At 40.2% G+C, this 25841-nt stretch overlaps 1 protein-coding gene and 1 long non-coding RNA gene across 33 annotated transcripts in view, besides 1 other annotated feature; one reads left to right on the plus strand and one right to left on the minus strand.

Annotated features, from left to right (window-relative positions):
- LOC124901750 (uncharacterized) overlaps nt 1-25841 on the minus strand; it is a 224798-nt gene that overhangs the window by 158459 nt on the left and 40498 nt on the right. The gene's annotated exons all lie outside the window — the stretch shown is intronic.
- The window catches only part of CALD1 (caldesmon 1), a 259231-nt gene that overhangs the window by 66047 nt on the left and 167343 nt on the right, over nt 1-25841 (plus strand). For 18 of the 29 annotated variants that reach the window (NR_199386.1, NM_001438783.1, NM_001438782.1 and 15 more), the window contains exon 1: nt 2089-2204. The exons of 10 other annotated variants lie outside the window; for them this stretch is intronic. The gene's annotated coding sequence lies outside the window, so the exon portion shown is untranslated. Of the gene's footprint in view, nt 1-2088; nt 2205-6784; nt 6972-25841 lie in introns of those variants that run through there. One more of the 29 variants, NM_001438781.1, reaches the window with a different exon arrangement.
- Nucleotides 7077-7577: an enhancer, noted in NCBI's record as "H3K27ac hESC enhancer chr7:134469373-134469873 (GRCh37/hg19 assembly coordinates)". NCBI's record gives its function as "activates a minimal SCP1, AML or CMV promoter by ChIP-STARR-seq in primed H9 embryonic stem cells {active_cell/tissue: H9 hESC(primed)}" and the evidence as "EXISTENCE:reporter gene assay evidence [ECO:0000049][PMID:30033119]".

The following is a 25841-nucleotide window of genomic DNA, read 5'->3' on the forward strand; positions in this document are numbered from 1 at the left end:
TAGATTGCAAAATTATACCCTGATGCTGTTCCACCAAAGGGCATTATTTATACAAGCAGGGAGAGTGTGGTTTAGGATATAAGCAGCAGCGGTAATGGAAAATAGCACTTTCAAACAGGCCTCACTGAGTTATGGAGAATACCACCTGGAGATCATGCACCCGGAACGTCTCTGGACACAGGTCATATCTTTGCACAGACATCACCAATTGCAGCTGTTTTCTGAACTCCTGATGTCTGCCCTACAATATGTTCAAGCCCAGCAGTTTACCAGACTATGTAGTATTATTCTATCTTTCCTTCCTGTCAGATATGGGATGTCCCCATCAGCAAAACTGGCCGTGTTCCGAAAATTTATTTCTAAATCATTTATCTGGGATCAGAAGACATTTTCCCACAGGAACAATTTTATAAACAGTGGTGTTCCACAAATGCCTGCTTGTGCCACAGTGTACCTGAAATGCAACATTGACTGTATGATTCCCACCAACCATTATTTATTCTTTTCTCTGGGAAAGTGCATTCCTCTTGGGATGCCTGAGGCTCATCTCTCCCTCTGCCTGGGAGCCTCAGCTATAGTTTTTTGGGCTGTGCAGCAGTAGCAGTCAGGAAGAGGGGAGGGAAGCAACCTTCCCAAAAAAGAGATGAGTGTAGAGAGTTGATATGGATGCCTCTGGGTAACTTGTTAATGCTGGAAGGCTGAAGAAGGAAACCAACAGTGCGAACTGGCTACTTCCCAACTGTTCTAAAAGAGGCACAAAGGGCAGGGACATTTTCGTAAACAGAGATCATTTCTAAGTCACATCTTCATAAACAGGGAAAGGCATATAGTAAAACCTCCCATTTTTAAAGACCAGTATCTGGACTTGTAATTAGCCAGGAAAAATATTGTGAAACTTCTTGGTCAGTGATGAAACAGTCTCAAACATATAACAATGAGACATAGATCTTGCACCTATCCCCAGGCCTGACAAATAGTAAGTGCTCCAAAAAAAGGGGATTTCAATTTTAATTAAGTACTAATTGAGTGAATTCTGTATTGAAAAGGACAAGACTATGTGTGGGCCAGTTACCTTAATTCTCATTAGCATCTACTAATTCTGACCCTCTTATAGCACACATCCTAACCATGAAGAGTTGGTCGGAGCACTTTCAAGACGTCACCTGAACATTATGTCACCTCTGCGGGATATATGCATCTGTCTACCCCAGCCCAAAGCAGGTGGTGGGTCTCTTCATACCCTCTCTGATGTGCATCAATTTCTAGGAATTTCTAGTACTATCTCCACATCACCAAATCTGAGGAAACAAAAGAGATAAGGAGAGGAAAGTGAAGCCAGTGAGGATATCCAAGCCTGTAGGACCTTAGGTTTATTCTGGCCAGTATTACCTGCTAAAAAAGACCTACGCTTTTGGTTTCCCTTTGGTCACTTATTTTTATAACACATGCAGACGTATTTTGGGGAGGTGTGCCTCTTTCAGGCTAGAATTTAGTCTGCTCAGCAGACCCGGGTCCTGTCTCCTTCAGGTTTTAGAATTGCATAACAATTTAAACTCATTTTGTATGTGCAAGTACTTTGAAAAGAAATATACTATTAAGACTCCCTCTGGTAAGAAGCCTTCCCCACCCCCACGCCCAATAAACTGATCTGTTAACTTTTTGTTTCAGAGACTGTGCTTTCTTTTTATTGCTGCATTTGTGTTCTACAAGACAGCCTCTTTCTCCAAGATTAACATTTCTTATGATTGTTCCTGACAATGGATTCACTTCCAGAGGCCCTGCTAAGGATAACCAAAAAAGGGCATGGAGCAGGCTGGTTTTGGCAGCGTGCACGCAGTTTCAGAGCTTTTTAGGTCTTGGGTTTTCTGATGAGTGATTTCCTGAGCATGCCTAGGGAATGACAGGCATCTCCACAGGCAGGCTGCATCCACCTTGGCTGGGGTGTCGTCATTGGCTGCCTATTAGAAAAACGACAGGACAATGCATACCACCGCCTCCCGACTGTAAACATAGGGGATATGTGTTCACTTAGCATGGACTTCTGGGAGGGGCCAAGGAAGGGCGGTCTGGAGTTTTATTGAATAGAGCAGTGTGTATTCGGCTGCCTGCCTGCCCGCCTGCTTGCTCTCTGGCTGTGCTCCTGCTTAAAGAAATCAGTCCTTCCTTTCCGACTTAGTCCTCGGGAAGAAGTTTCAGACTACAAGGTAAGGCACAGAAGGCTTTCTTTTTTATCTTCTAGAGAGAATCTGGGGACTTTCTCCGGCTTTCAGTCAACATTCCTGGCTAAGGTAGCTGGAGATGCAAGAATGTTCAAGGCAATAAACCATGCAAACTCCCGAGCCTGACTGGGCTTCACTGCCATACGGATATTCCCGGAAGGCAAACAGGATGAGATTTCCAGTTTTGTTTTTAGAATTGGGACAAGAAGAGTGACCATATAGAGACTTACATTTAGGGAACACTGGCAACTTTGATTAGGATAGCCTTTTGTTTAGGACAGCCATATGAGATTATACCTGATATCCAAAGGCCAGTGTTAGCAAGCCTACTGCACCAGACTGCTCACACAGTCTCTTCTGCATCTTTTATTGCCAAAGATTTGAAGAGGTTTTGCTTTAAAAACAAAATCAACAATCCTTTAGGTTGATGAGAAGCCAAAAGGGAATGATTTTTTTAACCAAAGGCTTTTGCGTTATAGTCTGCTGCCAGTATTTAAAACTAGACTTCCAGAGTTGCAAGGAAATACGGTCAGAGATGGAGAGATCACTAGCACCTAGCACTGGTTGGGTTAATGTCACTGATGGGATATTTGCTAAGACAGAAGATGCCTAGGCTGGTCTGTTTCCTATAAAACCTAATAACAAGAGAATGCATGCGCTAGTGGGTGTGTTTTTTTAGAAAGCACATTTAACGTCCTACCAAACTATTTTTTAAGAAATCTTTTTTTCTGTTTGAAAGTGTGCCTGAGTGTGTCTAGAGAATCTAAAGAGATGTCGATTGGCAATGTGTTTCAGAAAGGAAGGAGGCAGGCTTTTATATCTAGATAGACATATTTGGGTGTCTGAAACAGTAGTACAAGGCAGCTAGTTGGTAGTAGCCTGGAATTCCTTTTAGAAAGAGCTGATGGCAAGGGGTGGGGGAATTTTAGTGCTGTGGCAATACATGGTCAAAAAAAGTGGATGAGAACAAAGTGCTTGATATTTATAGATGCCTTCTATTAACAGGACTATGCAGATGGACTTGTAAACTGAAAATCCTTCTAATGTGTTTGTCAAAACCAGACATATACAGCTAGAACCTGAGTGAAGACTAGATGCTATATGGCAAGCAGGGTAAATCTGATGATTTTTTAGTAGTGCTGGCTATTAAAGACTACCAGCTGCAAATGACTGATTCAACTGGATTTTATTCCATGCAATGCGGTAGTTTGGGGTTGAGATTCATTAAATAAAGTTTTCTCTTTGTATTTAGAAGTTTGGGGATAATTTTCTTGGGAATGCCTATTTCTCCTTCTAGAAGTGATATATGAGAACAGAATTCCTTGTGAATTTCCTTCCCTGGAACAGTTCTGAGTAAGTGTGAGAGAAAAGCTGCAGGCAAAAGCTATAGTTTAATTACTGTCCTTCCCTCGAAGAGATCAAGTTCCAAACTATTTTCACAGTGTTTTTAATGTCAATCAAAATATGGAGAGCAATTTTTCTTTTAACTGTTCTCTAAACCATGAAGGGAATGCAGTTTGGAAGGAGATCTATAATCTTGGGATTTGAGGATAAATTCCATTTTGAAACCAACATCTCCGAATCCCTGAAAGTTCAAACTGTGCTATGACCACTCTCTCCAGATCCCCCATCCCCCTTCTCTTGGGCTCCCCACCCCCAACAACCATAAAAACACTCATTTTTTTCCAAGTAACACTTTAGGTGTTCTGCTGTTATAGGTAGAGATAGAGTGAGAGGATTTGAGTTTATGCTGAATTTTAGGCAGTTCTTTGTGCTACTTCCTTCCTGTTGAATGTTACCTAGAACACATTTCCCCACATAGTGAGGCCAAAGGAGCACAATGAAAACAGTAACTTTCATTTCAGAAATATAATCACAAAATTCCAGAACAAAAAGTCACTAAGAGTTGATCCTAGGACACACAAGGAATGTATGTACAATGGATTGATCCATAAGTAAAGTGCAGGGTTGTTTCAAGTATTCGAAGCAAATAGAAGGTGTAATTTAAATCATTCCAGTCAAAAGATTGCCTTAAGTAAATACACAATTCTTATATTAAAGTTAGGAGAAGGAGAACCAGGCTCAAACTGCAGTTTAAAGGATTTTAAATGAGATACATGAAAGCATTTCCTGACAGTAAGGCAACTGCCTTATTATGAGAATCATTAACAATTCTAATTGGCTCCTGTGACTGGCCTGAGAATCTCCTTGTCTTAGGTAGATAGAATAAGTTGATCTTATGGCCAGCCATGTAAAGGTCCAGAATCTAGCCCAGGTATTCTCTGTTCTGATAAATAAAATGCACCTCAGCAGGCATTTTTGTAGAAACACATGTAATTGTCTCCATTTGCCATTTTCTTGATAGCATGATTACCAGTTAGTCATTCCTTAGCAAGACGCAAAAGTGATTCAGAGATGGGCATGAAAAGAGATTTGCTAGTTCCCCATTTGCCTGTAGTCTATCACATGTCTCAGAAATGTGGTCGGGGGACAGGAAAAATGCTGATAGAGTGGTATGCAAATAGCATGGTAGGACTAAGGAGGAGGTTAGAAAGATGCTGCCAAAGAATTTTCAGACTTCAAAAGGGCGTTTTCTGCGTTAAGTTCTCTTAGGGCCTGAGAAGATACCATTAGCTCCTTACTGAAAGTCCTTCATCTGTCAGGCTAATCCAAGTTTGCTATTGGAGAGATGCCCATAAGTCCTGAGTAGATGGGTAGTTTAAAGAGAAACTTTTGGCACAGGCTTAACTTATGAGAACCACTACAACATCTCAGTTCTAGTATTGGTTCCTCTGCTTAAGTAACCCTGACCTTTTTGAGGAAATCATCAGCTTTTGACTTCATCTGTTGAGTGAAGAACGGACATTGGTAATGCTTCTCCGATGTCCCACAGTGGTTAAGACGTCCAAATGAGATGAAGCTGTTTGCTCCCTCTTCCCTGCAGATTCTATACCCTGAACTGCCTATCATTTGAGTCCTCTGGACATTATGCTCATCTTGGCTGGTATCCTCCACTTCTTACCTAGTATCCCTAATGATCTCTTCCTTTCTCGTATTTAAGGACCCTTGAGTGATATCTTCTCGCTCCTGGTTATTTCTAGAGCCCTGAGCCGTGTCCAGTGAATACTGGTCTATCCCAATGTTGTCTGAATTTTTACTTTGATGATCACAGACTAAGAGGACACAAATATAAGGAAGTGGAATAAGATGGGCCATCAGTGGTACAAGGCACCAGGAAATCCAAAGATCCACTTGAGCATAAGACCAGTGAGAAAGTGCTGACAACAGAAAGCCCTTAAGTAATTGAGGCAGCTTCTCTGCCTCCAGCCAAAAGCATGGAATGAACCCCGGAACGTCATGCCTGGGCCTTGTAGGAAGGGCAAGGAAGGCAGGAACACCTGGCTGTGGTTCCTGTTGGTATTGAAACCAGACTGCTCCACGGAGCTCGCCTCTCACCTCTTTGCTTCTGTCTTTAGTGCTCCCAGCTGTAACCGACCCTAGTTGCATCCCTAACTTCCTTACCCCCAGGCCTCCACCTGTAACCTCTTCCCCAGCTCCCCCATCCCTGTACCGGATAGGGAGCTTTCTTGATCCAACATTGACAATTTGCAGGGGCCAGCTCTAAGATGAGGCCCAGAGTACAGCAGAACACTCTAGCACAGATAGGTTCTAGCTAGGGAAAGCCACTTGCACAGACAGAGGAGATGTCAGAGCATGTTTTGTGGTAAGGACCCACTCTGCTTCTCACCCCAAACTCATAATTGGCAGGCTGTGGGTAAGGCTATGGGAGCGGGGTCGGGGGGAAACTATGACCTGGGCTGTGAGGGAGGGGTGATGAGGTTGTTCCCTGTGTTGTTCTTCCCTGTGTTGTTGCTATGGAAACCTTTGAGAATCTGATAAAAACTGTGAACCCTTAAGGTCCCTTTGTAAACCCACGCTTCATGATTGACAGGTAAGAGACCTTTGAGCTGGGGCATGTAAGATGGGGAGTGGGGTCAGATCTGGATTCCCATAGAAGACAAGGGTGGATGGGATCAGAACATGAGTGGAGGTGTCCATGATCTGGAAGGAAGAAAAGAGGGGGTAAATACACAGATATATAGGTGGAGATTGCGTCATATGACCTCCATTTCAAAGAAAAAGAGGTCATTTCCAGAAAAGAAGCAATTTTCTATGGGGAGCTCGTGGGGGCTAGAGAAATCCAGGAATGGCTGCTATTAAGTGTACGTAAAAAGAACACCCAGAAGTTAATAAAAGGCTTGCTAAGCAGCAGTAAGGGAATAGTTGAAGGAAAATACATTTTTAAAAGATTTTAGTATATCGGGCACTCATTTTAGTACATGGCTTTTCTTTGAAAATATATGTATATGTATAAATGATGTATAACTTGAAGATAAATTGCTTTTTGATGGTATCCTGAGGCTTCTGGCATTGTTTTGTGAATACTCCATGAAAGCACTTGACTAAAAGGGAATAATCTCACTTGGAGAGAAACATATTAAGCAGGAATATATAATTAGTTCCTCTGACACCCACATATAACATTCCCCCTCGCTTGTCTCAAGATACATTGCTGGGGAACCAGGCTGACTTCACCTTGTGCTGAAGACCAGAAGGACCAAGGCAAAGTGCCCAAGAGGGCCAAGGACCAGTTGGCATCAAAGATATTAGTTCCACTGGGGTCAGGAGGACCAGTCTAAGCCAGAATGGATATCAGTTACAAAAATGGGCTAAGTTGTGCATGACAGCCAGGTGAGTAAAGAAGAAACAGCAAAAATCAGAAGTCAGGCAGAGCTTAGTGAAGTAGTGTATGGATGAATAAGGTGAAGTCTGGGAGAGCACATGGCCCAGTGTTAGGAAGAAATAGACCTCTATGTGAGCAAACTTTGGTAGCTCAAGTAAAGGGCCAGGATTGTAAGACACAGATTAACGAACGGATGAAATCACAGGGATATCCAAGAGCAGAAGCCCAAATAGGACCAGGGCCCAAAGAGAGTAGAGTTAGAGTCAAGGTGGGTGAGAGGATCCCAGCCGCGGTCCATGGATATTTACTCCATCCCTTTCCACTAGTGTGACTCAGCTCAGCGCACGTGTCTGCCTCTTTCTGTTGTTCTATCAACTGGAAAATTTCTTCTGTGTTTCCAGGTCCAGTCCTGAGAGAGGAGATCTGATTGGTTCAGTCAAAGACTATTGTCTTTGGCAAATCCTTTAGTAGGAGGAGGACATCAAAGGCACAGGCGCGCCTAAGGATGAATTACTCTAATCCAGGCAGTGGTCACCCCTGGGCAAAGAAGAGCTCAATGGGTAATTTTAGTTAGAAGAGAAATTGAGCATGGAAGGCAAATTAGCTGAAATGTCCAACAGCTCTCAATGGGAATCATTTGAATTTTGAGGTGAATAAACTCCTAGAGAGGCAAACACCCAATGAATGATCACACAGTTCTTGATGATCACTGTGACCCACTGAGCCAGTGTTAAGGGAGATTAATCTAGAAGTTTGCACCACTGGTAACTGAAAGGATAAGAATCATCCATCTCAGAAAGATTTTGGGAAAAAACATTCTGGATATTATTGTTGGCAAGAAACTTCATATGAATCTTCCATGTGATATGGCTCCCTTCAAATGAAAGCAGTCTTGAAGATTTAATATGTAATCATTTAACAATTTTAATAAATAAAAACAAGCACAACTCAATGTAAACCACAGTACATAATAAGGTGAATGCATAAAAGCTGGTGTACTCTTAATCACTGGAAGTTTCAGATCTAAGCAATATTTGCTATGTAATTTTTAATCCATTGAGCACCCATCATGGTGTTTGTCAAGTGGACTAAAATATCCCCTGAGTTCTGCATAGTTCGGATCCCATTTGGGAACTTGTGCTCTGTTCTGGGCTCATTTTTCTGAAAGGCATGGATACATATGCATTCTAGGGTTAGCATCAAAGGCTGGAGGGAGTCAGGAGGCAAAACATATGCTGAACCGATAAGGGATCTAGAGCTGTTTATCCCAAAGAAAAGAAAATGAGGCCACATAAATATCTTCTAATATTTGGGGTACTTTTATATGAACATGGGAGAAGGCATTTGTGTTTCTCAAGGCAGCAGAACAGAACTGAATATATAAATTCATAGAATTTTTAAGCTGGGCAAGACCTTAGGAGCTCATTCAGCCCAAGGAGTACATATAACTTTTCATCTGTATGCCAGCTCCAACCAATTGGCATGTTAAGAAGGATTCTGAGGATGAATCTAAGCTCAGAGGGGAGGGGAAAATGTGGTCACTGATAGTGATATCTGTTGTGGAAGAGAAGGGCCATATCTACTCAAGTACCATGTTTTAGTCTTCATTAATGTGGTCTGTAGGTTTTTAACCTCTGGGTGGTGGATCCCTGGGAGGCCACAAAGTCATTGCAAGAGGTAAACAAATCTGTATATGCAGCAAGTGCTTTTGGCAAGCTACTCTGAGTAAATAATATATCTTACATCATATGTGCTACTATTTTTCTAATTCTATACATACATTATAATGATAAAATGCTAATTTATTTAAAAGAGTTATTGAATTCATAGTAGCTTTTAAGTTTGTGTTTTTGTGTTTTATTAATGAGTGGACTTAAAACATATAATTATATTATGTGTGGGAAGGTTGGGACAGGAAATTTGGGATCTTAAGTAGAAATTCTTTTTAAAATATGAACCAGTGATCTATTTTTTATTCTCCAAAGCCTAGCCACACCAAGTAAAATTATGTATGTATTTGTAGGTTTCTTCGATTAATGTCTGCCCTGTCTTATTGGTCTGTCAGATATATAAGGACAGGAACCTCTATTTTTTTTTCATTCGTATATACCCAGTGCGTGGCACACGGCAGAATCTCAATAAATATTTGTTGAATGAAATAACAAACCAAGTGACTTGACCAAAGTCATCCAGTTAATTAGTGGTAAGATAGTTCCAAAACACACAGCTCCTAAGTTCCAAGCAGTTAACCTTTTCAATATACCACATTACTTCCCCTGATAGTAAGAGAGCATGTTTTAACAGTTAGCAAATTTAGGTTATACAATGCTGCCCAATCTGCCTATATACCCATGCATCTTAACCAGTATCTTAATCAGAATCAACTGTAGAGCTTTTTGAAAATACACATCCCTGAGACCTATCCTCTAGAGATTCTGATTCGGTAGGTCTAGAAGGGGGTCCAGGCATCTGTAGTTTGTAAAAGTTCCCTGGTGACTCTGATAAAACATCCTGGCTCAGAAACAGTTCTGTGCACCTATCGTTAAAATAATTGATAGTAGATGTATGTAGTTACTTATTCCTCAGAAGCCTATTTCTTTAGTTTTGAATAATTTCTTTCTAAAAATTATAGTTGCATATGCCAAATAATCCGTTTGGCCAGAAGAGCAAAACCTTTAGTTTTGCTTTTTTTTCAGTTTAAGCACAAAGTTATCAACCCTGTAAGGTCAAATTTTTCTGATGAGATTTCCAGTGTTTGCTTTTGTAAAGGACTGGAAATGTGGCAAGAATAAAATTTCTCATGGTATTTCCCACTTCCTTTTCCAGCCATCATTACTAAGGGAAATTTAGGCTTAGGGGGAGGGGTGAATCTAGGAGAAAAAAAATTTTAAGTATTTCTGTTCTTAGGAGGTTTTGAGCAGATATTTCGCTTCCTAGGAAAAGCTGAAGATGTTTTTCTCTGTTTCCACTTTGTGGTGAGGATGCACAAATCCTGAAGAGGGGAGAAGCTTCCTCCACCTCCACCCTCACCCCTACATCTTCTCTAGGGCAGGAGTCATCACAGCCCCTGGTTTAGATGCTTCCCTGGGTGGCCCTTTTGAAAGTATGTGGACCCTAAGAGACAGGAGACTTTGAGTGCATGGATGGGGGATAATTTGCTTTTGCAGAAGGACAGAAAATTTATCTCTAGGTTCTTCCTTTATTCGGCAGTTAGGAATTACATCCTCTGTATTGCACAGAAGAATCTACCATATTCAGAGCACTGAGTACATGGATTATATTCACTAAAGATTGGAGAGCCAAAAGTTTCTCTGCAAGAGTGACCTGATCTAGTAAGAATGTCAAAATTGTTACTATATTTGTACCCATGCTCTTCGGTTTAGAGGGCAGGTGCTTCCGTGTGTACATAGAAGCAGAGCTTGTTGGAGAAGAGGAGCTAAAAAGGAATTAGATTAGAATCCACCTCTGTACAATGGCACCATCTGGACTCAGTCTCCTTCATCTCTAACACTGTCCCCACTTTCTCTGCACCCCAAACTCATACTGGCTCCCAAAAGCTCATTGTTAAACTTTCGAGAATTTTGAGAGCCAGTTGTAAAACACAGCCATTATAAAAACTAAATCATATAAACTTACAATTAAACACATTATATGAAGAGCCAAGATAATAAATACTCAAAACTCTTCCTAATTATTTTGCTATGTTTCACTATTATCTATTCTCTTGAGGTTAGTTACATCTATTGTGGCTATATGGTGGAAATACTGTATAAAATGCTGTGCAACTGAGCTTCTCCTCCCAATTCTTCATTCAGTGATGTCATATTCAGAACTTGAAATTGACCATGATGGAAGTAATTACACCACAGAAATCAGCCCATGCTACAAAGCAGACTCCCCTCCCCTCACCCAAGAACTTGTTGCTAAACATTGACTAGCACATCACTGACCCTAAGGGATGCGGTGGTAAAATTAGCCTCTGCATTGGAGAGCCAAGCGGAATACCTCTGTGGTTCAGTTACATGCATATTCATAATGTATGCTTATGATTGCATATTTGTTTGTTTGCTTGCTTATTTATTTCTCATGCTCCTAGAACATAAGCTCTATGAAAGTAGAGACTTTGTTTGGCTTTTTCAGTGCTGTGATTTGAACCTAAAAATGTGCTGTGTCCTGCACATAGTATTAATAAATGAGTTAAATGAGTGAAAGAAATAAATGTCAGGCTGGTAGTGGTAGCTCGTGCCTGTAGTCCCAGCACTTTGGGTGGCCAAGGCAGGCAGATTGCTTAAGGGCAGGAGTTTGAGACTAGCCTGAGCAAAATGGTGAAACACTGCCTCTACAAAAAATACAAAAATTAGCCGGCCATGGTGGTGTGCATCTGTAGTCCCAGCTACTTGGGAGGCTGAGGTGGGAGGATCACATGAGCTTGGGAGGTCGAAGCTGCAGTGAGCTGAGATTGTACCACTGCACTCCACCCTGGGTGACACAGTGAGACCCTGTCTCAGAAAAAAACAAAAAGTAAAAAAAAAAAAAAAAAAAAGTCTACAATTTCTACTTTAAAAATACCTGAAGCCAGTGTTCATGTTGGAGCTCATTGATTCCTCATGAATTGTATCATTGTTCAGTGTTTAGAACAGTGCCTGGCACATGCTAAGTAGCATGTAGATTTTTATTAGGTAAAAATAAAATAAGTTATCTTCATAACAGCTAATTTTACAGATGAAGAAACTGAGTTACGATTAGATTAAGTAATATAGCTAAGGTCCCACAGCTAGTAAGTAGCTGGGTCAGGATCTAAACCCGGGATAATCTGGAGGCACTGCCCACCTTCTTTACCACTGTGCTATGCTGCCTCTTGCTAGTTACTCCACGTCACTGAGACTCCTCTTTTGTATGTGGCTCTAGAAAGAATTGAGATCTATTTGAGAACAAACTTTGGAGTCAGGAGAACTTGAGTTTGAATCTCAAATTTACCACTTTTTTCACTTACAAAATGGGGATGATTTCTCCTCCACTTTGTAGTTGTCACAACTACTAGAAGTAATATCTTGAAACTGCTTTGCACGTACATGATAGACACTCAATTACAAATGGTCAGCTATTGGCTGTGATTTCCTGTGGAGGCTACCTGTTAGCGTGGGGCTTAGCCACACACTGTCCCCTGTTGCCTCCTCTAGGCCATCCTGTAGACAGATTAAAAAGGGCTCACTGCTTCTACATTTGGGGTCTCCAGGAGGTAAGACTAGGACCAATAGATACAAGTTCTAGGAAGTCCTATTTCAGATCAGCTTACAGACTTTCTAAATAGATATTTCTGTCTCTGAAGCACGAACCTCGCTGCTCTACAGAAGCAGACAACTTCCACTGTCCTTTCCAACCAGAAGGTTTACCTGCTTGCCCTTATCAACAAATCTATGCTGCCTTTAACATTTTAAATCATTTTATCTAGTATAGCTAAAGAGTTGTATTATTCCTGAGATTGGGTTGTTTTGCAGGTTTTCAGTGTTTTAGACCTGGAATGAGAGGGAGTAAGAAAAGAGGGAGGGAGAGGAAAAGAGAAAAAGAAATAAGGAGAGAGAGAGAGAGAGAGAGAGAAAGGAGAGGACAGAGAGGGAGGAAGGGAAAAGGGGGAAGAGGAGGGAGGGGAGAAGGAAATTGGAATTTATCTGGAGAAAAAGTACTGAACTTGGGAGAGAGACTGAAGAGCAATGGATTGATAGTTATCTGAAGTCCTCACAGGTTAAGGATGGTTGAGAAGATAAGCTAGCTCATTCAGCTACCTTGCTGGCATACTAGCTATGTGACAGGCACTGTTCTGGTTGAGGACTGCTCTCTCAGAGCAGTAAAGTAAATCAAATAACTTGCCCAAAGTCACACTGCTGGAAAATGCCAGAGCTGTTCAAAGCTCCTCCCTAACTCCAACCCTCTCCAATTCTCTACAGCTATCTGCTCTGTGTCTTCCCCCAAGAAAGCGATGGAAACCAGAGCAGGAGGTTTCCGTAACCAGTCATTATAATTTGTCAGGGAGCCATACTGCAGTTCAACTAGACAAGCACATTGTCATTCCCTGCCATATAAGGAAACAGAGCTAAACACCATTGCTTTCACTATTGACTGGAGAGGTTGCTCAAGTTAGAGTTAGACAAGATGAGGATCTAGACCTAGAGCAGTTAAATTAAATTAAAAAAAGAAAGAAAGAAAGCCAGAGAAGTAGTTTTGTGTTTTCTTTTCCTGGTACCAGAGATAGTTTAACAAGCAGTTTCCATCCTTCTCCCTGACTCAACGGGAGATTTTCCCTGACATTAGGCACTAAAGGATTCAACTACTCGTACAAATACTTCAAGCTGTTTTGGTGTTTGATTATGTCAAATTTTAAGAAAAGGCAGAGGATCAGTTCAGGTATTCAAAAGGCCAACATATCCAAAAGGTATTCAAAAGGCCAAGACAGAGCTGCTTCTGTGTGGGTCAGGTAGAAAGTCAAGGACTGTATTTCTCTGTCCATTGATTTACAAAAGAAATTAGTGTCCACTCACCTTCCCAGGTGAGATACTACTTATTAAGAAATAAAATCAGAAATACTACTTATTAAGAAGACTTTACATTTAAGTTTGACCTTCTTGTCCAAAGCTAAGAATATTCACGGGGTCACTCTTTGCCTTAAGACTCAGACACAATGGGCACTTTATTTGTTTGTTTGTTTTTTGAGATGAAGTTTTGTTCTGTCACCCAGGCTGGAGTGCAGTGGCACGATCTCGGCTCACTGCAACCTCTGCCTCCTGGGTTCAAGCGATTCTTTCACCTCAGCCTCCTGAGTAGCTGGGATTATAGGCACACGCCACCATGCCCAGTTAATTTTTTGTATTTTTAGTAGAGACGGGGTTTCACTATGTTGGCCAGGCTGGTCTCGAACTCCTGACCTCAAGTGATCTGCCCACTTTGGCCTCTCAAAGTGCTGGGATTACAGGGACCATGCCCGGCCACAACAGGCACTTTAGAATGCAGGCTCAGTAACCAACTTTATGAAGGGAGAAACAGAGGCATGAACAGTTGAAACTATTTCCTTAAAGACAGCCAGTTCCATCTTGCCATACAGAGTGCCCACATTTTCAGATAATCCGAAGAGGCATCACTTAGTGTCCCCAGGGAAATGAAAAACAAAAAACAAAAAACAAAAAAACCTGTAAATAGTCTGGTCATCTTCTCCTAACTATCATCTTGGACCAGATTGCATCTGGAGTACTAGTTTATTAGGCATACCCGAGACTGGGTAATTTATAAAGAAAGAGGTTTAATGGACTCACAGTTCCACATGATTGGGGAGGCCTCACAATCATGGCGGAAGGCGAATGAGGAGCAAAGTCACAAATTACATGGTGACAGGCAAGAGAGCTTGTGCAGGGGAACTCCCATTTATAAAGCCATCAGATTTCCTGAGACTTATTCACTACCACGAGAATAGTATGGGGGCAACTGCCGCCGTGATTCAGTTATCTCCACCTGGCCCTGCCCTTGACACATGGGATTATTACAATTCAAGGTGAGATTTGGGTGGGGACACAGCCAAACCATATCTGATGCCACAACAAAATGCACAAACAAATTTATTTCTGGATGGAGGTTAGAAGTCCAAGATCAAGGTGTCAGCAGGGTTGGTTCCTTCAAGGGCTGTGAGGGAAGTCTCTGTTCCAGCCCTCTCTGTTTCACTTGTAGATGGTTATCTTTGTGTTCACAAGGCATTCTTTCTGAACGTGTATCTGCATCCAAATTTCCTCTTCTTTTTTTTTTTTTTTTTTTTGAGATGGAGTTTCGCTCTTATTGCCCAGGCTGGAGAGCAGTAGTGCCATCTCGACTCACTGCAACCTCCATCTCCCAGGTTCAAGCAATTCTCCTGCCTTGGCCTCCCGAGTAGCTGGGATTACAGGTGCTCGCCACCATGCCAGGCTAATTTTTTTGTATTTTTAGTAGAGACAAGGTTTTGCCATGTTGGGCAGGCTGGTCTCGAACTCCTGCTGTCAGGTGATCTGCCTGCCTTGGCCTCCCAAAGTGCTGGGATTACAGGAGTGAGCCACTGAGCCTAGCCTCCTCTTCTTATAAAGACACCAGTTGTATTGGATTAGGGGCCAACTTAATGACCTCATTTTAACTTGATTACCTCTGTAAAGACCCTATCTCCAAATAAGGTCACATTCTGAGGTCTTAGGGGTTAGGACTGCTTCAACATATGAATACTCGGGGGAGATACAATTCAACCCATAGTATGTCCCAACTCACAATGGTGGTAGAAATCCATATGGCACATTTTCTGAAGCTCAAGTGCCAAAGACCCTACTGCTGCTGGTATTCTATCTTTCCACTGGGTCTAAGGGAATGCTTTGCTAGAAATCCCTTGGCCTTTTGAATTTGCCTTTGACATTTACTTTCTGCCTTTCTCAATATGAAATTCTGATCCCATTAAAAGTCAAAAGAGGTTTTCGAAATGACGCACTGAAGTACAGCTTCACATACTGTGGCCTATCTGTGGACAGCTATGAAACCACGGCGGCAGACCATCTGGTATGAGGCCTTTAGGAGCCAAGGACGGGGCTCAGTGGGAAGGCTTGGCCAGGGCAGCCTGCAAGCCAGGGAGGCAGGCGCTGAGAGGGGAGCAGCTTCAGGGCAGCTGGCCGGGCCAGGGAGGCAGCCACAGAGGGACCTTGTGCATGCCTGCACAGGGCCCAAAGAGGGTGGCCCTTTTCCGTCATTTTTATATATGCTGATCACAACCACAAATCCCCAGACACAAGGAAAAATATTTGAAGCCTACACATATTTGCGCTCTGAATCATTTGTCTCTTGTCTTTATTTTCCTCTCTCTCCTCTCTATCTATCCTTAAATTTTTATACTTTTTCTCTCAACAGTCCTCCTCACTTTATCTGTCTTTGCTCTAGTTGGTTTCAAGCGCCCATACATTGTGTCTTGTCTGCATTTTCCATGTTCTATTTTTAAGGTATTTTATTTTAGCCTTTTTGTCCCTTTTTTGTCCCTTTCCTAAAGCTCTTCTTGGTGCCCATTTCCCAGCTTTGGTCCTGCTCATGGCTTCTCTGTCTTAGGCCAGGGGTAGTCTATAGACAGGATGACTATACCATTTATCGTCAAACTGGGACACGTTGAAGAGGGAAAGAAGGGGCAGTTAATAATTTCCCTAAAATGCAGTCCCGAAGTGGGACTGTCCCAGTGTGGAGTGGATGCTTATTCTATCCATGGTGTGGTTTTCTGCTTTCCACAAATCTCTCTTCACCTATCAACCACTCCCTCCATTTATGTACCATTTTTTTTTTTTAAACCTTTTATGTTCTGGTCCTTCTTTTTTATTTCAACCCCAAGAAGCTTTATGTGTTCTTGTATTTCTGTCTTCTTTTATCTCCTCCTCATTCCTTCACTTTACTCTACTCTGCTCTCTATCTTGTCTCACCACTTCAATTCTTCTTCTCCCTTGATTTCCTTCTTTTGGGTACAGACTGGACTGCAGCTCACAGAGGCCATGCCTGTCTGCCATGATACATGCAGGACATAGTCCCTGCATTTCTGAAACAAATCAAGGCACAGCTGAGCACATACACACACACTTCAAAATAAGCCACCAAATGTTACAAGCTGCTTTGGGTCTCAGATGAGCCCTGAGTGGACTGTTCACCCCTTCAGCACCTCTACCCAGAGACTAGAACAATCCCTACACCACGCAAGCAGCCATGCCTGTTACTGTTACGGAGGCATGTTCTGTGTATGTGTCTAGGCTCGCACGGGATGCATTTCCTATAGGTGTACCTATGTACACTAGAGTTGAAAAATGATGAAAGCATATGACCCGAAAGACAAAAAGAAAGTGACAGGTGAGCTAACTGTGCATTGCCTTTGTTATGACTTCAGTAATCTGGATCATCTTATCCTCTAAAGAAATGTATACCAAAGGCCTAGCAATGGCTGCCATAGGTTTTTTGTTGTTGTTGTCAATTGAAACAGAGTCTCACTCTGTCGCCCGGGCTGGAGTGCAGTGGAGCAATCTCAGCTCACTACAACCTCCACTTCTCGGGTTCAAGTGATTCTCCTGCCTCAGCCTCCCAAGTAGCTGGGATTACAGGTGTGTGCCACCACGCCCAGCTAATTTTTGTATTTTTAGTAGAAGTGGGGTTTCACCATGTTGGCCAGGCTGGTCTTGAACTCCTGACCTCAAGTGATCTGCCCGCCTCTGCCTCCCAAAGTACTAGGATTATACCATGCCCAGCCTGCTATAAGTCTAACATAAGTAACAATAAACTTTTAGGCAACAAGATAGAATAAATATTTTTTTCAGTTCTTTTTAAATGTTCTCATGACACAGTCATCTGCAACTTATGGTTTATTCTGAAAAATCACTTCAATTTTCCAGATATTCCTTAGACTTAAGGTTGTGCAAGGAAGGCCTGAAACTCCTTCCCAACTTGAAAATGAGAAAGGAAGAGTATTTTCCTCTTGTAAGTCGCTGGAAGCCAGTCCACTGATACCTGAAATACTTGACAGAATGGCACTGTGTCAGCTGTCAGGAGCTGCTCTCGTCTTTTTTATTTATTTATTTACTTATTTGGGAATTTTGACCACAATTTTCTTTCTCTTTTTTTTTCAAATACTCTAAAAATTAAAGAATGAGGAAAGAAGACTGTGTCCCCACCCAAATCTTATCTTGAATTGGAGCCCCCATAATTCCCACGTGTGGTAGGAGGGATCCAGTGGGAGGTAATTGAATCATGGGGATGGGTCTCTCCCATGCTGTCCTCATGGTAGTGAATAACTCTCACGAGATCTGATGGTTTTATACAGGGGAGTTCCCCTGCACATGTTCTCTTGCCTGCCGCCATGTAAGACATGATTTTGTTCCTAATTTGCCTTCCACCATGATTGTGACACTTCCCCAGGAACTGTGAGTCAATTAAACCTCTTTCCTTTATAAATTACCCAGTCTTGGATACGTCATTATTACCAGAGTGAGAACAGACTAATACAACAGTGAAATAGATATTTTATGAACGGAAATACAGGTTTTGTTCAAGTTCTCTCCTTCCTTCCTCTCTCTTTCCCTTCCTTCCCCCTCCTCCTTTTCTTTCTTTCTCTTCCTCCTCATTCTTCACATTCTTCCAGTTTTTGTTTCTTCTCCCACTGAGATTGATATGGCTGGAAATGTGCTATTATGATTGGGCAGCCTTGTGCTTTATCCATGGTGGCCTATAGCTCTCTTGCTTATATATATCTTTTTATGAAGATCGATGGTAACAAAAAATACTTCACCCACACTCTGCTGGGAAGATGCGACGGTGGAATGGAAATATCTATCCAGAGAGCTCCCTACGACCCTAAGACTTGACAGAGTCATCCCCAGCCAGCCTGGAGCCACTGACCCACCTGTGTCTGAGTAACTGGGAAACAAGGAGTGTAGGAGTTTGAGAGTTATTTTTGTTTTTTACTTTTTTAAACTTTCATGCCTTTCCATATTTCTGCTCTTAGATATTCTGTTAAAATAAAACAACGGCTCTTTCCATGGGAGTAGTTTCTAGCTTGCTAATTCTTTTTTGAGAGAGTGTTTGCATGAGGTTTTAAGTTTTTAAAGTCTTGGCTCTTATATTTTGTAGGAGCCCTAGACTCCAGATAGTGGTCTAATAGAAAATTAGCCCTGGCTCCTGCCTCATGTCCACAGCTGATAATCTGTGTGACTTTGAATGGCCTCCTTGTGCCTCGGGCTTCTTAATTATAAACTGCCAACAGCCTTTTCCCTTCTCTATGATGCCAAGGTGGGGAGCAATGTGATCTTTAATACAAAAGGATGTTAGGCAGTAAAGTGTCTTAAAACACAGACATGGATTTCCTTTCTTCTTCCTTTGAAATATGAAGACTTTTCCTGGTTGGTTTTGGGGGAAGATAGAAATCATATATTCATAAAGGACACACCCCATATTCAGAGTTCAGAATTTGGAGTTTCCAATAATCATCTCATGCACGAGAGCTGACTCCCTCTGCTGGGGCTGCCCCACCCCCAGTTCCAGCCTTTCCTTCTTTCATTTTTATTTATTTATTTTCTTAGAGATAGATAGAGTCTCACTCTGTTGCCCAGGCTGGAGTGCAGTGGTGCAATCATAGCTCACTGCAACCTTGAACTCCTGGGCTCAAGCAATCATCCTGCCCTAGCCTCCTGAATAGCTAAAACCACAGACACAGCACCATCACGCCAGGCTAATTTTGTATTTTTTTGTAGAGAAGGGGTCTCCCTGTGTTGCCCAGGTTGGTCTTGAACTCCTGGCCCCAAGTGATCCTCTGCCTCAGTTTCCCACAGTGCTGGGATTGCAGGCATGAGCCACCACACTGGCCCCATCCTCATCTTTAAAAGCAATATTGAGAATCATCTTGTTTGGAGAAACTCTGAAACCCTACAGTGCTGAAAAGGGAGGATTGAGACAGACTGCCATTCAATTGAAGCTTTTCCTCTAATGTAGTAAGAATTTTTTTTTTCTTTTTTTCTTTTTTTTGAGAAAAAGCCTTGCTCTGTCGCCCAGGCTTGAATGCAGTGGCGCGATCACAGCTCACGGTAGCCTCAGCCTCCCAAGTAGCTGGGGCTACCACACTTGGCTAGTTTAAAAACTTTATTTTTTGTAGAGACGAGGTTTCATTATATTACTCAAACTGGTTTCGAACTCTAGGGCTCAAGTAATCCTCCCACCTTGGCCTCCCAGTGTGCTGAGATTACAGGCCTGAGCCACTGCACCCGACCCAGAAAACTTTTTTAAAAGCTTTATCTGAAACCAAAGCACATAGTGCACAATGGCAGACTCTTAGACTCTTGTTGCCCTCAGATTTTCTAAAATTGTCTTTTATCAGCATTTAAGTTTCTAACACATGAGATCACATATGTGAAAGTGCTTGTGCTTTGTAATATCTGTGATTTTACTATCTATAGCAGAATATATTAAAGTGTAAAAGTGCTCCAGGAACCTAAGAAGAGTAGAAGAAAAGCATGTTTGACCCCAGCAACTGTGCTTGCAGCCAGGCTTGAACGAGCAATCATGTGGGTGGGTTAAATTGTTTATTTTTTATTTTTGAGACGGAGTCTTGCTCTGTGGCCAGGCTGGAGTGCAGTGGCGCAATCTGGGCTCACTGCAACCTCCGCCTCCTGGGTTCAAGCAATTTTCCTGCCTCAGCCTCCCGAGTAACTGGGACTATAGGCACGCACCACCACACCGGCTAATTTTTGTATTTTTAGTAGAGACGGGGTTTCACCATATTGTCCAGGATGGTCTCGATCTCCTGACCTCAGGTGATCCACCTGACTCGGCTTCCCAAAGTGTTTGGATTACAGGCGTGAGCCACCATGGCTGGCCAAATTGTTTATTTGTATTGTTCTTTAAATAAAAGTTTATTTTAGAATACTTTTAAATTTACAGAAAAGTAGCAAGAATATTACAGAGTTCTCATATGCCCCACACCCAGTTTCCCCTATTGTTAACATTAAGGCACATTTGTCACAAATAATAAAACAATATTGATGCATTATTATTAATGAAAGTCCAACCTTTATTTGGATTGTTTTAGGTTTCTTTAAGCCCCTTAAAATAGAAAAATGTTTCATATGGGGAAAATGTAATGTTCACATTGTAGCTATATAGTTGGAACTCTAATACATGAGTGAAAATGGTTTAAGCTAACTCTTTTCTTGAACATATGCTTACTGGACTGACAATCTCTTGAGGACTTTCCACCTGTAATACCTTAGGCCTCTTCTGTTCTCTGGTTTGTTTCCCTTGAGACCGTTAGCAGATTGCTCAGCCTGACCCACCCTGGTGCCAGATGTTGGAACCCTCTTGCTGCTGCCAATCTGACTAGTCATTCCAAACAGATGGTAATATCCAGCATCACACCCCCTCCCACAATTTCACAGTTTTAGGCAGAAGCCTTAGAGTGAACACATTTACCTGGCTGTTGAATTGCTGAAACTCTGTTCTTAAAGTTGCTTCATACCACAGTGACTTGTGAGAGCTTTGACATTAATAGAAGGTCCAAAAGAAGACCTGAGTGACGTTCCCCCAAATCTTGAGATCTAAAGACTTTGGCCAGTTTAAAAACACTACAATTTATGGAAAATACCTGTTAGTAACAAATAGAGAAATTATAAAGGAGATTGCTTTTTAGAAATCACCCCAATGACCGTATTCCACATCCCGAGCTTCCAAGCTTTCTTTGAAATACGAGTTACCAGCAGACACTAGTGGAAAGAATCTTTTTAATTCAATCTCTGCCTTTGAGCAACTTGCTGACTGACATCTAGAGGCATCTCAGTCTTCTGGGGTGGCACCTTATGGTGGAAAGGCTGGACTAGATGTGGTCTCTCTTAGTTTTAAATCTGCTTGGATTGGGGCTTTATAACGTTCCCTCAGAAGTCTTGTTGGTGTCCTTTCTACCAGATTTCTTTTTCTACTGTTTCACTTTCATTAACAAATTGCTTCACAGGGGACAAAATTCTAGATGTAGTTCAAATACTAGTTACAAATTTGCTGCCTTCAAGATACCTAGTTATTTGATTGATCACAGTTGTTTTTAAAGTTCATTTTAAGTAGAGTTATGATCAAACATGTGCAACTGAATCAATAAAGTTGAAAATATATCACGATGAGGAAATGTAGGTATCTTCTTTGGTATCTTCATATCAAAAAATTAATTGAGAGGAACCCTTACTAATGAGTGAAACTAATATTCTTGACTCAGAGAACTTCCTCAAAGCCTCAAAATAACAACAATTTGAATTGGTCATCTAAGTATAAATAAAGTTGGGAAGAGACACCTTTCATGAAAGGAATGGTTGAACTAACTCTCAAATAGGAAGACATCAAAGTCAAGGAAGAAAGTAAGAGCTCACGGCTTGGGGTGGAAATGGTTACTAAGTTTAGCCATCTGCTTTGGTCTTTCCTGTTCCACATGTAGCTATATAGTTTACATAAAAGTATCTCTCCAGAGGATCAGAAAGAACAGATTTATGGAACCAGATGTGAGTTAGCATTTCTACAGGTGTGGCTCTGCAGCTGAAAGAACATGTTGTACCAGGGATGAAGTTTCTTATTATGTAATCAATATAAATTACCACTAGACTTTTACAGAGGTTGATAAAGCAAACACGTGTCATTCGGATTGGCCTTCTGGTATATAAAGAGACCCTGCTTCACAACGTGAAAAAATGTACCGTTTGACATTCATAAAAGACTTGGTAGAAAATACCATGACAATAATCAGGCAAGGTTGTTCCCCCTTGCACACAGAGGGGATAGCTGGTGGCTAGATGGAAATTGTGTTCATATGTTTTTCTTCATCAAGAAAAACAAGGAAATTTTCATAAATATTTTTAAAGTCTCTCAGAATCTGATAAGAAAGGGCCAAGAGGATGAAAATGAGAGGACTGGGGAAAAATAACAGAATGCAAGAGAAAAGATGAAAAAAGGCAGAATTAGTTAACCTATAGAGGAATATATCCTTAGGTGGTATAGAAAATCAGGGTTATAAAAAAAGATTGGTAAATTGCAGATCATTTAAACATTTGCACACAAAAAGAGAATTTTAAAATTCTAGACAATAAAAGTAAAAATGTTGCTGATAAATTAATTTGTGTCAAAGTATTTAATACAAATGTTTTGATTTTTTAAAGCTGAGTGTTTTATGCTAGATTTTACAATGAAACAAAAAGAAAAACTTCTATTTTTGGGCTTCTAATTTGCTTAAACTTTTTCAATTTAGTTTAAATGTATTGCTCAAATCTCTGATATTCTTACTAATTAAAATTTTTTTCTTAATCAATTCATTTCTCAGACAACTGTGCCAATCTCCCATAATGATTGTGGATCTATGACAGTCTTCTTATAAAATTTCTCCTTATAAAATTTGCCATAATTACTGTTCATGTTTCTAACTATGTTGCTTAATACACATAAGTTTATGATTTTTACATCTTAAAGCATATTTTGTCTGCTATTAATATTGCTACATGTTTCTTTTGTTATTTACTTATTACATAAATTTAAAACCTTTTATTTTTAATATTTCTGTCTAATTATCTTAAAGTGGGTCTCATTAATAGCATATAGATAAATTTCAAAATCTAGTCACAGAGATTTCTATCATTTAATGTATGAGATAAATCCATTATATTTGTTATTATGGATTATGTACAGGATGTCTGAAAATCTGAAAACAGGGCAAACTTAATTTAAACAATATATTAGTCACATTTTAAAAATACTTGCTTAATATGTTTTCTTCAAGTTTCAGACAACATTTCAAGTAAAGTATCTTTAAATTTAAAGCAATGTCCAATTTTTTAACCCTAAAAAGTATAATGAATACACTATTTTCTGAATTTCCAGAATTTTTAGACCCTATGTAATGTATTTATTGTACAAAACATAGGAGCATATTATTTGAAATGTATCTAACCTACAGTATAAGTGCCTACCCTATATTTTCTGATTTTTTTGGACTCAAGGTAATTTAGTCTTATTTTTAACATCATATTTTGTATTTCTTCTTTCCCATGTGTATTCTTCACGTCTTTATTTTCTCCCTTCCTAGTGTTTTATTATGTTTATTGATTCCCTTTTAGTCTTTACTGTTTTGGTTATATACATCCCTATTCTAGAGAATATTTCTATTAACATTTAATATGCATATATTACAAAGTATAAACTTTATTTTCCCTCAAAACTATCCGTGTTCATCCTATAAGCTATTATTGTTTAATAATCTGTTTCGTTTTTAAACCTTGACAAATTCATTTTTTTTTAAAACAGCCAATTGTTACAATAATCTACCAATATATTTTGTTGATTTCTTTGCTCACCCTTGCTTCTAGCATCTCACTCCCTATTTCTGGGTTCAAATTCCTATTTGCTGAACTTATTCTTTAGTAGTTCCTTTAGAGAGTGACTTTGGGTTGTAAGCTCTTAGACTTTGTAAAAATACACTTTTTGCTTTTACTTTTAATTTAGACCTCACTCTTGGATATTCGTTTAGCTGAGTATAGAATATTTTTGCTTGGTACATTGAAGAAATCACATTTTCTTCTCTCTCTCTCTCTCTCTTTTTTGAAACAGGGTCTCACTCTGTCACCCAGGCTCCAGTGCCGTAGCACAGCCACGGCTCACTGCAGCCTTGACCTCTGGGGTCAGGGGATTCTCCCACCTTAGCCTCCCGTGTAGCTGGGACTACAGGCACTCACCACTACGCCTGCTAAATTCGTGTATTTTTTTAAAAGATGCTATTTTGCCATGATGGCCAGGCTGGTCTCAAACTCCTGGGTTTAAGCCATCCTCCCATCTCAGCCTCCCAAAGTGCTGGGATTACAGGTATGAGCCACCACACCCAGTCAAGATATTATTACATTTTCTTCTCACATCTATTTAGGAGAGGTTGGCTGTCAGTCTTGCTGTCCTGTCTTCTGCCAATATAATTCATGTTTTCTCTCTGGTCACTTTTGTAACTGAAGTAAAAAAGCAAAATTTCCACACAGAGAAATATTCAGATTTTAAGTGTAATATATATGTGTATGTATGTGTGTAGTATATATATATATATGTATGTCTATATATAAGGTATAAGTTTGCCATATATATGTCAACATATATGTGTGTGTGTGTATGTCATATATATATACATCTGTCTATATATGTCAATTTCCATTACCACATTGCCTACCTTACACATCTACTGTTCTGATTTCTATCACCATAGATCACATGTGTCTATTCTTGGAATTCATATAAATGGAATCAAATAGTATATATTTTTTATCTGGTCTGTTTTGTGCAACATAATGTTTTTATGATTCATCCATGTTGTTGCATGTATAAGTAGTTCATTTTTTAAACTTAATAATATTTCATAGAATTAATATACATAACTTGTTTTCCATTGTCCTATTAATGGTCATTTGAATCGTTCCCAGTTTGGGATATTATGAATAAAGATACAAGAGATGCTTCTCAACTTATGATGGGGTTATATCCTGATAAAGCTATTGTAAGTTGAAAATATTTTAAGTTGAAAATGCATTTAATACACCTAACCTACTGAAACATCACAGCTTATCCTAGCTTACCTTAAATGTGCTCAGAGCACAGTTGGGCTAAATTATCTAACACAAAGCCTATTTTATAATAAAATGTTGAATCTTATGTACTGCATATCACTAGCCAGAGAAAAGATCAAAATCTGAAATTTGAAGTACACTGAAATTGCAACAGTTCCATACTGTTGTAAAGTCAAATCTTCGTAAGTCAAGGACCATCTGTGTAAGATTCAAGTACCTTTTTCCGTGTTTGTGTGTGTAAACACAAGTTTTTATTTCTTTTGGCTAAAACTGAGAAGTGGAATTGCTGAGTCTAATGTACATGTTTGTCTTTACAAGAAATTGCCAAACTGTTCACTGCGGTGATGCTGTTTTTAACACTTACAAGCAATAAATTAGCATTCCAGTGGCTCCCTATCTTTAACAACATTTGGAGTAGTCAGTCTTTCTAATTTAAACAATTCTAGTAGTTGTTTAGTGGTATCTCATTGTGGTCTTATTTTGCATTTGTCTAATGACAAATGATATTCGGCATATTTTTTGTTCTTATTGAACATATGTATATCTTCTATGAAGGATTTATTCACGTTTCTTGCCCAATCTTTAAATTAAACTGTTTATTATTATTTTGTAGGAGCTCATTATACTTTCTGGATACAAGTCAGATATATGTATTATATTAATACATATTTTCTCCCAGTCAGTGGCTCACCTTTTCATTTCCTTGATGCTGTATTTTGATAAACAAAAGTTTTATATTTTAATGAA

Source organism: Homo sapiens, chromosome 7 (genome assembly GCF_000001405.40).
Source record: "Homo sapiens chromosome 7, GRCh38.p14 Primary Assembly".
NCBI classification, from domain to species: domain Eukaryota; kingdom Metazoa; phylum Chordata; class Mammalia; order Primates; family Hominidae; genus Homo; species Homo sapiens.